The 15959-nt window shown below is 33.3% G+C and overlaps 2 protein-coding genes across 6 annotated transcripts in view; one reads left to right on the forward strand and one right to left on the reverse strand.

Moving 5' to 3' along the window:
• RASA1 (RAS p21 protein activator 1) overlaps positions 1–15959 on the forward strand; it is a 124034-nt gene that overhangs the window by 60912 nt on the left and 47163 nt on the right. For both annotated transcript variants that reach the window (NM_002890.3, NM_022650.3), the window contains exons 2-6: positions 2554–2706; positions 3713–3848; positions 4473–4543; positions 9180–9297; positions 12496–12527. In NM_002890.3, coding sequence (NP_002881.1) covers positions 2554–2706; positions 3713–3848; positions 4473–4543; positions 9180–9297; positions 12496–12527 — 510 coding nt within the window. The remainder of the gene's footprint in view (positions 1–2553; positions 2707–3712; positions 3849–4472; positions 4544–9179; positions 9298–12495; positions 12528–15959) is intronic.
• CCNH (cyclin H) overlaps positions 1–15959 on the reverse strand; it is a 101460-nt gene that overhangs the window by 17324 nt on the left and 68177 nt on the right. The window lies entirely within an intron of this gene.

Here is a 15959-nt window from a genome sequence, read left to right on the forward strand (position 1 = left end):
TTGAGTAAACCCAAGGACTGGTGTTTAAAGGTTATATAGTATTTTACTTAGGTTCTAGAAATCTGTAAGGTGTCTGAATCAAATCTTGTAACATTGGATTTATTGTGATTTATTTATAAAACATTTAAGGATCAAATCAACTAAGTAAATATTTACAAGCTGATGGCTGGATAATTTAATTGCAGTTTATAGTCATAATCAAGAATTGACATGTTTTGCTTTATGTGTTTGAAGCTTACGACCTTTTGACATGAAGGAAATTGCTAACATTTAGGAAATAGTTACTTATTTAGATTAATGTCTTTCTCCTGAACTGACTTATCCATTTTAATGCTCAGATCTTAGAAAGTACATAGATGTAAAAAATCGACTCGGTGTGGTGGCTCACACCTGTAATCCTAGCACTTGGGAAGGCTGAGGTGAGCAGATCACTTGAGTCCAGGAATTTGAGACCAGCCTGGGTGACATGGCAAAACTCTGTCTCTCCAAAAAAAAAAAAAAGCTGGATGTGGTAGCATGTGTCTGCAGTCTCGGCTACTTGGGAGGCTGTGGTGGGAAGATGGGTTGAGCCTGGGAGGTGGGGGTTGCAGTGAGCTGAGATCGTACCAGTGTACTCCAGCCTGGGCGACAGAGTGAGACTCCCGTCTTAAAACAAAACAAAACAAAAACAACTAAAAACCACAAATAAACATATATATTACTTAAAATCATAAGTTGGATATTTCTTATAAAGTAGTAATTGTGTAATGCCTCATGTATCTCTGTGTATCATTTCAATGGTAAGTTCAAAAGATGAAGGAGATTAAAGAAAAACCTTTTTCATCTTGACACTACCTAAGACATAACAGAAATTTAACAAATAACAAGTATATAAAAATAGAGATTTTTAAAAATTGTCCTTAATTTTATCTTTGTTGGGTATATAAATCTGCTCTCTGGGATAGTTCTACTGCTTTAAGTAATGAGGAATGCACTAGTTTCATATTCTAAGGATAACCTAAGGATATCCCATATATTTTCACAACTAAATAAACTCATAGCCTGAAATTTCAAAATTTTATTCTCTTATGTCGTTAAATTATAGTTCCTTAGGGTTCATTTACGATCTCTGGTGTAAACTTTCCATTTCAGATTTAAAAAGTCCCTGAGCTCTTGAAAGTTAAATTTACTTGTCATTTGTCTCAAAGATAATGGCTGAACTAAGATTAGGATTTTAGAGGAATGCAGTATTGATTGTTCTTTCCCTTCTTCCTCTAGTACTAACAGGTTACAATTATATTTTGTTTGTTAAGTCGTAATGGAACGCTATAAATAAGTTCATTATTTTCAGCCTTATGCATAGGGCTCTAAATAAATAGCTTGGTTTTAGAAGAAAACTAAAAGTAATTCTTTCCATAAGTTTTAAGTTTCTGTGTTTTTGTTTTATTTTTAAAAATTAAGGAGTCAAAAATAATGGGCTTTTATTACAACAAGCTTACAAAAATAGTCATAGTAACATAATGCTTTTATCATTGGCTTATATATTATATAAAATACATACATTATTACACATATAAGATTACAAATAAACTTTGGTAAAGCTGAAGTACTATATTATGTTACATAATTGAATATATCAATGTAATATGAATGTTTATTGTTTTTCTCTGGATGTTTCAAATTAGGCTGTAAGTATCTAAGGATGAGTTTGGCTAAACTATCAAATGTAAAAATATTTTATAGCAATTACTTTGGAGATTTGTTACCATGCCTGTATGATACTTCTAGTATATTTCTAAGCATGTTTCTGTTTATATCAGTCCATGAGGCTTTTATAGGCATACTTGGTATGCTAGAGTTACAGCCAGTTTCTTAAGTAGATCATTTGATAGTATGTAGGTAGAACACAGTTAAACTGAGAGCAAGAAGGGTGAAGGGACAAAGGTGCTATTTATTCTCCCACATGTTTGTTACATAAATTTGGAAAGTTGAGTGCAAATGTAAAATGTATAGTCATGGAGTAGATTATCTTAGAGCCAAAGGGATTAATCAGCTTCACGTTCAAACAGGAAATTAAAATAGCATCCTTTAGACAGTGTAATTCTGTTTTCCTGTCGCAGGGCACAAACACTAAAATGGAATAAAACATTTTATATTCTCATAGGTTCCATGTGCCTTGTGAAGTCATGGTTCCTCAGTATAAGATCGAGGTAGTAAATTAATCATTTCCATTTGTCTATCTTTTATTTTTCTAAGTAAAGATCTGGTTGCAGTAGTGTTTATATTTTGAATAGCAGGCAATCCTGGAAGTAGGGAGATGGGTAGAAATGGAAGAGATTTATATATGAGATGACTAGGACTGAGCTTTTAGAACAAATTAAAGACCAAGTAAATGAGTATTTTTTGAGACTGAGGTTAAATTGAGTTAAAATTGGAATAACTGGTTCAGAGTAAAATGTAAATGTTTAAGTTACATGTAGGCATTTAAAACCTCTAGTAGTATGTTTTTCAAGTGTCCATAGAAATTCTGCACTTGCTATTTATATTGTAATATCTTCTCTGTTTTTCCCCTAGGTGGTATCACGGAAAACTTGACAGAACGATAGCAGAAGAACGCCTCAGGCAGGCAGGGAAGTCTGGCAGTTATCTTATAAGAGAGAGTGATCGGAGGCCAGGGTCCTTTGTACTTTCATTTCTTAGCCAGATGAATGTTGTCAACCATTTTAGGTAAGTCTTTATTCCTATTATGAAGCCAAATGATGTAGCTATTTTGATATAATATTCATAAATATACCTGTATAATAAAGGTGAATGACTCAGTAACAAATAATAGAGAAGGAAGCTTGTTTTCAGTCAAATGATTTAATCAGTGATTTAGAGAGATTCTTTTGAATGTTTACATTTTTTGTTTAAAAACAATATTGTTGGGCATTACTGTGCTGATCCTCAAATATATTTATAGTTTTTAAAGTATAAAGAATTACAAATAAACTTTGAGTGGTAAGGCTAAAATAAAGGAATTGTATACTTTTAGACTGCAGAATAACAAAAAGTGTAGGAAACCCTGTTTAAAACTCAAATTTTGTGTCCTTTATTTTAGCTTCACTATTCTAAAACTCTTCGCAGACATGCACTTCAGTGAAACAGACATATAAATTTTCAAGTACAAATATTCTGTATATATAAACATATTTACCCATATTGTATTGTTTCATTTTTATAGAAGAAATTGAAAAAAATCATCTAATGCATATAGTGTTAAATGATAAAATGTTTGTGTACCCTTGGTTTTTAGATTTTAAAATAAGGTTCAGTAGTACCATGATACCACATGTAGTATGTGAAATTATTACTGTACTTTGTGTAAATATTGCAAGAGATCTGTGAGCTCCTTTTAGCCATATAAAACTTATTAAATTGTTAATTCAGCCTTAAATATGGAAAGTGAGAAGAGGTATCTGAGGGTGAGTTTTCAGATATTTGATGGAATTCTGTAATTGAGGTTTATAAGCCTGATATGTATTTCACATCAAATGCATGTATATATATGTAAGAGAAATAGCCCCAAGTAATTTACTGTGATGAAGATACTAATAAGTGGTATTTTAGTATAAGGATATAGTTACAAGGAAAAGAGTATGGAAATTATGGATTTATAATTTCTTTATAAAACTTGATTTTTAAAATTGGCTGTAAAGATTTTTTTATACTGTATTTTTTCCTGTTCAAATAGGATTATTGCTATGTGTGGAGATTACTACATTGGTGGAAGACGTTTTTCTTCACTGTCAGACCTAATAGGTTATTACAGTCATGTTTCTTGTTTGCTTAAAGGAGAAAAATTACTTTACCCAGTTGCACCACCAGAGGCAAGTAAAATGAATAAAATATCTTTCAAAACTTTATTTTTTCAGTACAATAATGGTTTTAGCTATTGCTCAGTTTCTTATGTTTATTATAATTCAAGAAGTATTTGTTGTATTAAATTTTAATTCGGGTTATAATGTCAGAACAAAATGGACAACTTCTTTGAAAAAAAAAGAAAATATTTTTCAATAATTTTGTATTTAAGTAACCAGATTAAAAGAAAATACTGTATGGTGATAGCCTAACAAATATTTCTGAATGTATGGGAACAAATTACTGATTTCATAGTATTAACCCTGACTTTGCTGCAAGATTCTGAAATGCCTTGTGTATCATCAATGAAAGGTTAATGTATATGTTTCATGTAGTATATTTAAAATGAAATGATCATTCATATTACGTTATAAAAGCATACTGCTTATATTTAAAATATGATTTTCATAAAAACAGGAACAACAAAAAAGCCTTTCTAGGCACTGGGTATTTATAGTCCAAGTAAAAATTTATTTGAATGATCCCATGGAGTTTCTAATGTGAATTTTTATTGGCTTTATGTGGATATACCTCTTTTGACTTTAAGATAAAAAGACTATCTTTTTAAATCTTTTTTTTTTTATGGTTTCTAGCCAGTAGAAGATAGAAGGCGTGTACGAGCTATTCTACCTTACACAAAAGTACCAGACACTGATGAAATAAGGTATTTTATAATCTATTCTCATGTATAGGCATTTGAAAGAGCTAGACTTCGAAGATTTATTACTCTTGGACTAGGAAGCTTTTGAAATTTGAAGAAATGGCATACAGCAAGGTGAAAGAGCTTTTGATATTGGGTCTGTTGGTCCTGTATCTCTGGGTTGGCTTATTTGTTCAGACTGTGGTTTTGGATCAGGGTGGCCTCAGTGAATATGATAGGAGAAATAGTTAGGTTTTATTCCACTGTCTCTCACAAAGTAAGGAGAGTTCTGCTTCAATCTATATGCTATGTAAATTTTTGTTACCATGTGACATTTATGCCACAGCTATAAAGGATAAGCTTCTACTTTATGTAATGGGTGAATAATTTTAAACCTTAGGAATGTTATAGAACTATGCAACATGTTAGTTTGTGGTTTTATTTCTATATAATTATATAATTTGATAATCAGATTATCTGTGTCTTTCTATAAGCTATTTAATTTTCTAGTGGAAACTTTGTTTCTTACCATTAATTCTCTCATTTAATTCTTACTGACACATTTTTATTTGTAATGTAAACTGGACAGGCCTATAAATGACAAAGGAAAAAATGCATATATTGAAGAACAGGGATGAATTACAAATTTATGAATTTAGGTAATTTTAAAAAATTTTTAGTGGGATCATTTAGGACAGCAGTTCTGTAAGTGTGTTTCATGTAACTATGGGGATCTTTGAGATCCATTTAGAAGGTTCATGTATTAGTCAGTGTTCTCTAGAGGAGATTTTTTTACGGAGAATAGGTTTACACAATGATAGATGGAGACAGTAAAGACCCACAATCGGCTGTCTGCAATCTGAAAACCCAAGAAAGCCAGTGGTATAATTCAGTCTACATCTGAAGACCTGAGAACCAGGGGAGCCTATGGTGTAAATCATAGTCTGAGGGCAGGAGAAGATGAGATGAGATGTCCCAGCTCAACCAGTAAGGCAGCAGAAAGGGATGAATTTCTTCCTCCTCCATTTTTTGTTCTGTTCAGACCCTCAGTGAATTGGATGATGCCCACTCACATTGGGGATGGCAGGATACTGTCCTCTGATTCAAATGCTAATCTTATCCAGAAACACCCTCACAGAGAAACCCAGAAATATAATGTTTAATCTGGGAACCCTATGGCCCAGCCAAGTTGACACATAAAATTAGCCATCACAGTCCATGAGATCAGATTATTTTCATAACATACTAAGACATAACTTGCCTTTTTCACTGTAAATTTTACAATGATGGTACAAAAGCAATGGATGGTAAAACTGCTGGTGCCTTAATAGAAATCAAGGCTGTGGCACAAAAGTGTACTGTATTCTTCACTGTTACACACTTAGAGTTAAAGACAGTTTCATTGAAGAGTGTTGTTGATGAGGGAGTAAAAAATATTTATTGAATTTCAACCTGTGACTACACAACTTTAATCTGTATGATGAAATGGGAAGTATGTATAAAACACTTCTGCTGTGTACCAGGGATCAGTGTCATGAGGAAAAGCAGTGAGTTGAGAGCTGAACTAGTTTGTTCCTTTTTTTTTTTTGAGACAGAATCTTGCTCTGTTACCCAGGCTGGAGTGCAGTGGCACGATCTTGCCTCACTGCAATCTCCACCTCCTGGGTTCAAGGGATTCTTTGCCTCGGTCTTCTGAGCAGCTGGAATTACAGGCGTGTGTCACCAAGTCCAGCTAAGTTTTGTAATTTAGTAGAGATGGGGTTTTGCCATGTTGGCCAGGCCAGTCTTGAACTCTTGACCTCAAGTGATCTGCCCGCCTTGGCCTCCCAAAGTGCTGGAATTATGGGCATGAGCCACTGCACCTGGCTTAGCTGTTACTTTTGTGCACACCATTTTCACTTGAGAGAATGTTTGACATTTTTTGAAGAAGAACAGAGTGAGTCTATTATTTCAAGGAAGAAAACTTAGTGTTTGTTGCCAATGACAAAATTTGAGTTTTGAGTAAAAATTTGAATTTTAGACATTCTGTATTGGCCATCAAGAGTTTGACAGCTTCTGAAATAATGACTTTTCTGATGAGATAGGTGAAGATAATAAAGAATGAGGTTTTTTTTTTTTTTTTTTTTTTTTTGTGACAGTTTCGCTCTTGTCACCCAGGCTGGAGTGCAATGGTGCCATCTTGGGTCACTGCAACCTCCGCCACCTGGGTTCAAGCGATTCTCCTGCCTCAGCCTCCTGAGTAGCTGGAACTATGGGCGTCTGCCACCACACCTGGCTAATTTTGATATTTTTAGTAGAGATGGGGTTTCACCATGTTGGCCAGGGTAGTCTTGAACTACTGACCTCGGGTGATCTGCCCGCCTTGGCCTCCCAAAGTGCTGGGATTGCAGGCATGAGCCATCGTGGCTGGCCAAGAATGAGAGGTTTTGATAGTGTATAATGTGTTAACAACTAGAAGATATAGATAGCTCAGTGAACTAATATTTTCTAAAAGGTCAACGCATGTTGTTACAAAATTATGCATGGGTAAAAGATTCATTTAAAGTGCAAGATAGACCAATAGATGTTATTGGAATGCATAAAGTTCACTGATAAATAGTTTTGGATTCCATATTACAACTAACCTTCAAGAAAGTACCACTCGTTGAGTTTTTGGTGTAATTTCATAGAATATCTATAATTATCAGAAAAGGCTATTAAAATACTTATCCTTTTCACAACTACATTCTTAGGTGAAGCCAGATTTTCCTCATATGTTTTAAGCAAAAAAATCATATAGCAGCAAATTTAATGCAGAAACAGATATGGGACTCCAGCAGTTTTCATTTAAGCCAGGCATTAAGAGATTTGCAAAATTATAAAACAGTGATATTCTCACTAAATTTGTAAAAGTATCTTTTTCATATTTTTAATGAGCTATTTTTAAAGGAATTAGTGAATATTTTCAAACATTTGTTTTAAATTTGAATATGGTAAATATCAGTAGATATCCATATAAATAAAAGCCATTTAGGATGTCATTTTTAAGAGTGTAAAGAGGTCCTGGGAGACCAAAAAGAAAAAAAAAATAGCTGATCTAGGAAGATGGGAATTTAAATAATACTTTGATGATATAAATTTGGATTTATGAGTCTTTTAAAAAGTTTATACACACCTGTGGATTTTAAAATAAAAATACCTTAAAAATTAATGATTTAATAAAGCACTTTAGCCTGTTTTAGGGGGGATAACACAAAATAATATAGAATGAGTTATGATTAGATTGTATTACTACTAACAAGCTTATTTAAAACTTTTTTTGGTTTTTGCACCATGAAAAGTTGGTATAGCAACAACAATGAAACTTGAAATTAGAAATATCTCTTATGGCTACTTTTAACTAAGAAATGAAATTTACCAGTTCATGTGCACCCTCCTTTTACTCATAATGATTTTCTTTAATGTGCTTATTTAGGTGGTTCTAGAAAGGAATAGTTTAATTGGTTAAGTGGTAATGTCTGCTGCCATTCAGCTAGTGAAATATTGGCCATCATTAAGAAGGATTGTAGAATCAAGATAGAATACAATATTCTATGATTATTCAAATATTGAGTTAAATGTTGTATAATACAAGTTCTGTTGTCTGAAACATTGTCCAAGATACAATGAAGCTTGAGATAGCATAGAGAAAGCAGTTAAAGCTTTCAAGGATAGGAGAAGAGATTTACTTAAATTTACTTAATAGATTTTGATTTGTGAATATTAAGATTGAAAGGAAAATTGCTGGAAAAAAAGACAAATACAGTTATAGATACAGGGTTAATGGTACCATCCAACAAATCTGGAAACTTTGTATTCAGATGCATTCTTTTAAGCCTGAAAGGACAAATTCAAGAATTACTAATGGTTTTATATTGATGAAATACATCAGCAACTTGTTGTTTCCATAATTGTGTGGAGGTTGAAAACATCTAGGTTTCAGTAAAAGGAAACTAAGTTGTATATGCATCTCTGTACTCTTAAATTGGTAACAGAAAAAAAACATACATTCCTTTCTCATAATATATCCCTTGGTACCTACCACTTTCAGAGAAAGAATGCTGTACCCATTGGATAATGGGTATCTGGGTGAATTAAACAAGCCCTGGTTTTTTTATAAGAAAAATGTTAACTGACATAAGCATCTACATCATGCTTATCTAAAATAAACATTTTCTGAAGTAACTCTATATCTTATGTATGTATAGTGTGTTAATTATATTTATTTTGTGTTTTGATTTTATATCTACCCTACATCTGAAAGAGTAATAACATTGAAGCATAAGTTTTTCAATTCAGTTTTCTTGTAGTTACACCCCAAAACCTTCAATATATGTACAATCAGTTTCTGTTAACAGAAGTTGTAATTTGAATCTAACAATAATTCAGTGATATAGTTAGTGCAGATACTACTATCAAACCCATTTTACTCATGAGGTAATTAAAATTCAGATTATTTATTATTTTCAGGAATTGACATGTGGATAATGCCAGAAATAGGATACAAATTTAGGGTGTTTGACTCTAATTCCTTACATTTTTCAATATAATACTATCCCTATCCTATTTTGTGGTATATGACTATTCTAATCTCTGTATTTAAAATTTTTAAATTTAATAACTTTAAAATTGCTATTTTCAGTTTCTTAAAAGGAGATATGTTCATTGTTCATAATGAATTAGAAGATGGATGGATGTGGGTTACAAATTTAAGAACAGATGAACAAGGCCTTATTGTTGAAGACCTAGTAGAAGAGGTGGTAAGTTTTGTTCTTTTCTTCTCAATTCTAGATTCTAAATATTTTATAAATTTGGATCTTGTCCGTAATCAGAGAAAGTAGCTATGAATACATTTCTTTTATAAAAGAACTTAATTGATAAGTACAAGAATTATAAGTGCTGTTTGTTAGTATGGAACATAATCAGGCTAGCATATTATAATACATAGCTGCCAATATTCAGAAAGCTTGTATGATTTTCTATGAATTAAAAATATATTAACATTTGTGTTTTCTTTTGAGACAGAGTCTTGGTCTGTTACCCAGGCTAGAGTGCAGTGGCGTGATCTCGGCTCACTGCAACCTCCACCTCCCAGGTTCAAGCATTTCTCGTGCCTCAGCCACCCAGCTAGCTGGGATTACAGACATGTGCCACCATGCCCAGCTAATTTTATATATATATATATATATATATATATATATAAAATTTTTTTTTTTTTTAAGTAGAAATGGGGTTTTACCATGTTGGCCAGGCTGGTCTCAAACGCCTGACCTCAAGTGTTCCACCCGCCTTAGCCTCCCAAAGTACTGGGATGACAGGCATGAGCCACAGTGCCCGGCCTATTTGTGCTTATTTTTGTTCTTTTTTTTGCCGTCCTTTTCTTCCTCATAAGTGAAGTTATATCAGTCTGATCATGAAACCTCAACTGGTTACACATGTTTGGTTTTAGATTCTTTATCTTTCAAATATATATATAATTTTCCAGTAAACTTGGAAGAATTCATTTATATTATACATATATTATCACATGGTTCTACATTTTGAATCTCGTCCTTGTTTTTGTTTCCATCATATAATACGTTATCATGGTATCAATTACCAGGTGCATTTTTAATAACAGGTCAGCATTTGAATGGCTTTTATATTTCAGAGACAATACTCAGTATCAAATATATTGTACATTATAACTTTGGAATTCTCCCTTTCCTTTCGGATTTTTCTAGTGAGATGGAGTGGCTTTCTGTTGTCTTTTACAGCCTTCAAAGCTACTGTTTTTAAATTATGCCACAGACCTGATAATATTCTGAAGAGTATTGCTCCTGGAAGACTGCAGTGGAGAATATTGTTTTTTCCTATTAATTCTCTTACCTGCCTATTCTGGCAACCAAATCTTGATCCATAGAAGTAAAACATACTGAGTAGAGGTGGGAAAAGTTGAGGAAATGGTGTGATACAGTCCATACTCATAGTCATATAGTTATTTAGTGAAAGAGCTAGGATTAGGACTCCTAATTCCTAGATTAGTATTCTGTATTCTACAGTAAAAGAGATATTTACTCCATATAGGCAAACAGTATTCGTACTGAAGCATCTTACTATGATAGTTTTCCTATAAAATTTGTTAGTTACAACTTTTAGTTTGGGTTTCCCTCTCCTTGCTGTACCACCATCTTCTCCATCCTGATTACTTCAAGAAATTGCACTATAGTTGAACTTTTCTTGAGCTCTTGGAATTCTGGATCAAATTTAACAAGATAACCTTTAAAGAAAAGTGAAAATTACTCAATGTATACAGAAAAATAATAATAACAACCCAAACCAGAATAAGGAGACATGACCTCACATCAGTACAAGGGATCAAGGAAAAAGTTAGCAACTCAGTATGAGTGAATAATGTGATGTGGTTGCTAAAAATGAATATAGTAACATTATAAATTAATAGTGGAGTAATTCCACGTCATTTATAAACAATTTTCACTCCAATATGTAGAATAACTTTCATGATGGGCTTTATTAGAGGGTAGTGAATTCTTTGTAGATTGAAAAACCATTTGGACATTGTCTAGTCTGTGAAGATGTTTCGGGCATTCAGTTAGTGGTTAGATTTAAGGAATTTCTCCTTCTAAAATTCTAATTACAGTTCCCCAAACACATTTATACTTTCATGTATTAACTCTAGAATGTATGCTCTCTGAGGGGAGGGATTTTTGTCTCTGATTCACTGATGTATTACCATTGCCTAGAATAGTGTCTGGCATTAGTAGGCATTCAGAAAATGTTTGTTGAGTAAATGAATGTTTCTATGTTTATAGTTTTCCCTCTTCCTTGACATTCTTGCCCTGATAGATTGCCTTGTAAAATTTGATTCATCTTTATGAGCTCAGTTCATATGTCATCCCTGTTTCACAGAGGATTTATGCCTTTCTGGAGTCTCTTAGGCAAAATTGTTTCCTTCTGTATTTCCATAGCACCTTGCTAATTCTGCATTCTGTTACACTGTCTAAAATTAATAATTGTGTAAAACTCTTCTACAAGAGATTAACTCCTTTTGGGCAGTGACACAATGATAATGCTATTCATTTTTATAGTTTTTTTTTTTAAGCCTACTCCCTTGGATATAGTAACATTCAGTGAGTGTTTGATTTTAGTTTGATTAGGTATTTAATGAGTGAGGACCAAATTGTGAGAAGTAAATCCACATGTAGTTAGACCATTTTTCTCCATAATAGTGGAATGAGTAACACTATTGTATCTTAAATCAGAGGAATATAGAATAAAATAAAGTTCAAAACATAGTAAAAGGGGGATGTCTTTTATATTGAAAGTAGAAGTTGATGTTCACTTTTTACGGGCTCAGAATGTCTTACTGAAGAGGTAGCATTTGAGATAGTTCCTTCCCAGATTGGTTAGGTATTTATCTAACAAGTAGAAAGCAAAAAGTGGAAAGTACATTCTAAGAACAAAAAGTACAAGCTACAGTGGTGGGAGATTGGCAAATAGGAAGTTATGTGTGACCATGGTATAGGAACCAAAAAACAATTGGTAGTATGAGACAGGAAATGTAGACTTGAGTCCTGTGGTAAACGACTTCAGTTGCAGAATGAGAAATTTGTAGGCAGTAGAGAGGTGTTTTTTTTTTGTTTGGTTTTTCTTAATGTAGGGCACAGCTGCTGTTGAAACTGATGTATCCAGATTAGAGTGGTGGAGTAGGACATAATTATATTAGTTGGGCTGTTGTTTAAGAAAAGTCGATAAGAGGGCCTGAGTTAGGGTAATGGCAACAAGAAAAGATTAAGAGAGGTTTGGAAAGATATTTACTGAACAGAAACATCTTTTTTTATATAAACATAAATAAGGATAGTGTGGGGATATGTTTGCAGATACGATTTTCATGAATTTTAATAAAAATTGATTAATAGTTAATTATATAAAATACTGTCTTAATGTCTTCCCTTTAGGGCCGGGAAGAAGATCCACATGAAGGAAAAATGTGAGTTTGTGTTAATTATTAAAATGAAAAAAAAAATCTATATTGTAAATTTACTAATTGGAAAACTTTGGCCAAAAAAATTGTTTTTTAAGGTTTTGGACTGACTTAACTTTTAAATTTGGCTTAGGGAACTGATTTCTAAATATTTTCTTAAGGATCTAGTGATAAAGTCTTGTTTTTAAATAAAAGGTAGCTGATAACTAAATATAACTCTTTTTATCACCACACTGAAGACTTTGAATAAACACTACATTTATAACATTATGAATGTCACAATTTGGCACATTTTAAAATTATTCATAGTATTTCTTGGTTATTCATAGTATTTCTTGTTTTATAGCCACATCTTTTATCCCCCCAAAATAACGGTTCTTCACAATTTTAATAAGATTCAGCAAGGTCTTTTTTTTTCATAATCTTCAGACTGATTTTATGTATATGTAAGTTTTCTTTTGAAGATCTGAACCATTAATCCCAATTCTCTCTTACTCACATTTTAATAGACTATTCATCTCCTAATATCTTTTCAGTACAACATTTTTTCTTATCTTTCAGCATTTAGGGATGGAACTTGAGGCTTGCCTCAAGTGTTTGCTTTTTCTGTTTTCTAACCATTAGAATATAAAAACATTCAACTGACTACTCCATTTGCAGTCACCTTGTTTAATGCTTCACCCTTCTGTAAGTGGAATATGTAAGATATATTCTGAGTTCATTTTTATTGTTTCTTGTAGCTACAAAATAGATTCCATTAGTGAGACTGTACCCTGCTGTTTGTATTAGTTTGAAGTCTCCTCTCTACCTATATCAGGAGTTTCAAATTCTTTTTTGTTATTTTTTCTTTTTTTTTTTTTTTGAGACAGAGTCTTGCTCTGTTGCCCAGGCTGGAGTGCAATGGCACGATCTCTGCTCACTGCAACCCCTGCCTCCTGGATTCAAACGATTCTCTGCCTTAGTCTCCTGAGTAGCTGGGACCACCGGCGCACAACACCATGCTAGGCTGGTTATTGTACCTTTAGTAGAGATGCGGTTTTGCCATGTTGGCCAGGCTTGTCTTGAACTCCTGACCTCAAGTAATCTACCAGCCTCGGCCTCCCAAAGTGCTGGAATTACAGGCATGAGCCACTGTGCCCAGCTAGGAGTTGCAAATTCTAATTAATGCTTGGAAGAATCAGACAGACAATGTAAGCAAGTGAAGCGGGTCAAGTATATATATTCCCAGTTTTCTTTAGACACAATAATCTTGATCTTTCTTATTTTCCCTCGTTGCTAGAGATCAAGGTACATGGAACTGTGTCCCTACTGTCAAAAAACAACACTGTACGTGTGGTAATAAATGGCAACTAATATTCACTCACGGTGTTAGGGAAAACTGTGGGAAGTAGAAAACTAGAAAGTGTTTGCCTATTGTAAGGTAATCACTTTGTCTAGTTGTCTAGTTGATATGTGTAGGAATGTGAGTCTAGTGTTGTTAGATCCTTCTGATTTTCAAAAAAAGACCATAAATCTAGGTTTTTTTATTTTAGATAATAGCAATGGAATTTTAAATTTAAAAATATAGGTTAAATGCTAGTAAACATTTAAAGCTACATCAGTTTTCTCATAGTATAAAATATAAATCCCACTTTCACTCGGAAGTCTTTTTATCTGATAGCATTGTCATTCTTCCATTTTTCTTAACTTTATGTAATTTCTTAATTGGGGCATAACTTAAATTTGCATTGTTGGTTTATTTTATGTGTATGTTTGTTCCCTTTAATTTCCTAATATAGGGACTGTCGCAGTACTTTAAATTCTTTAAAGTGTCCTCAGTAACATCTACAAGTAACCTTTGAGATTAAATAGATGGTATAACTTTGGTTGAATTTCTTTCCAGCTCCCTATTTACATGATATGGGCACCAAGTCCTGATGACTTTATCTCTTAAAGTATTTCTTAAATGTTTACCGCCTTCTCAAATCTTAAATAACTACATTCTAGTTCAGGACTTTTTAAATCTCCTGCCAGGATTTGATATAACAGTAACCTCCAAGTTGATCTCCCTTGACTCTTTAGCCTCATCAAATCCTTTTTTCCAGTAGCTGGAATAATCTACCTAGATTGAATCACATTATCCTTAACTGCCAGCAGGTATATGAAAAAATGCTCACCATTCATTACTAATCATCAGATAAATGCAAATCAAAACTACAATGAGATTTCATTTCACCCCAGTTATAATGGCTTTTATCCAAAAGATAGGCTATAATGAATGCTAGTGAGGATGTGGAGAAAAGGGAAGCCTTGTACCCTGTTGGTGGGAATGTAAATGAGTGCAGTTACTATAGAGCACAGCATGGAAGTTCTTCAAAAAATTAAAAATAAAGCTACCATATGATCCGGCAATCCCACTGCTGGGTATATATCCAAAAGAAAGGAAATCAGTGTATCAAAGAGACAGCTGCACTCCTATGTTTCAGCACCATTCACAATAGCCGAGATGTTTAATCAACCTAAGTGTTCATCAGTGGATGAATGGATAAAGAAAATATAGTACATATACACAATGGAATACTATTCAGCCATAAACAAGAATGAAATCCTGTCATTCACAGCAACATGAATGGAACTGGCAAATACCATGTTAAGTGAAATAAGCCAGGCACAGAAAGACAAATACCATGTGTTCTCACTCATATGGGTGCAAAATATTAGAAAATTAACTCAGGGAGATAGATAGTAGAATGATGGTTACCAAAAGGTGGGAAGGGTAGCAGGGAAGGGGGGATACAATATGGCTGATTAATAGGTACAAAAATACATCTAGATAGAATGAATAAGATCTAATTTACTGGATATTTAAAAATAACTAAAAGAGTGGAATTTGAATATGCCTAATACAAAGAAATGATTATATGTGCTTGAGGTGATGGATACCCCATTTATCCTGACTTGATCATTAAACATTATATGCTTGTATCAAAACATCACTGGTACCCCATAAAAATAAACAAAATAGTTGTATACATTACCCATAAAAACAGAAAAAATAAAAATTAAAAAATTGAATCTTATACTGATTCTCCACCTTTACCTTAGCAGAGCCTAAAAAATGATCTGTTATCTGGTTATTTTGTCGTTTACTACTCCTAGCACTTATCATCTGTAGTTTCCTAATCTCCAGCATGTAGGTCTTCAAATTCATAATACTTTTTTCTTTATTGTTTTAGAGATAGGTTCTTGCCATTGCCCAAGCCGGAGTGCAGTAGTGCTATCATAGTTCACCTCAAACTCCTGGGCTCAAGTGATCTTCCTGCCTGAGCCTCCCGAGTAGCTGAGACTACAGGTGTGTACCACCACACCTGGCAAATGTTGTAATTTTTTTTTTTTTTTTTTTTTGTAAAGATGAGGTCTTACTATGCTGCCCAGACTGGTCTCAAACGCCTGGCCTCA

Source organism: Homo sapiens, chromosome 5, assembly GCF_000001405.40.
Source record: "Homo sapiens chromosome 5, GRCh38.p14 Primary Assembly".
NCBI classification, from domain to species: Eukaryota; Metazoa; Chordata; class Mammalia; order Primates; family Hominidae; genus Homo; species Homo sapiens.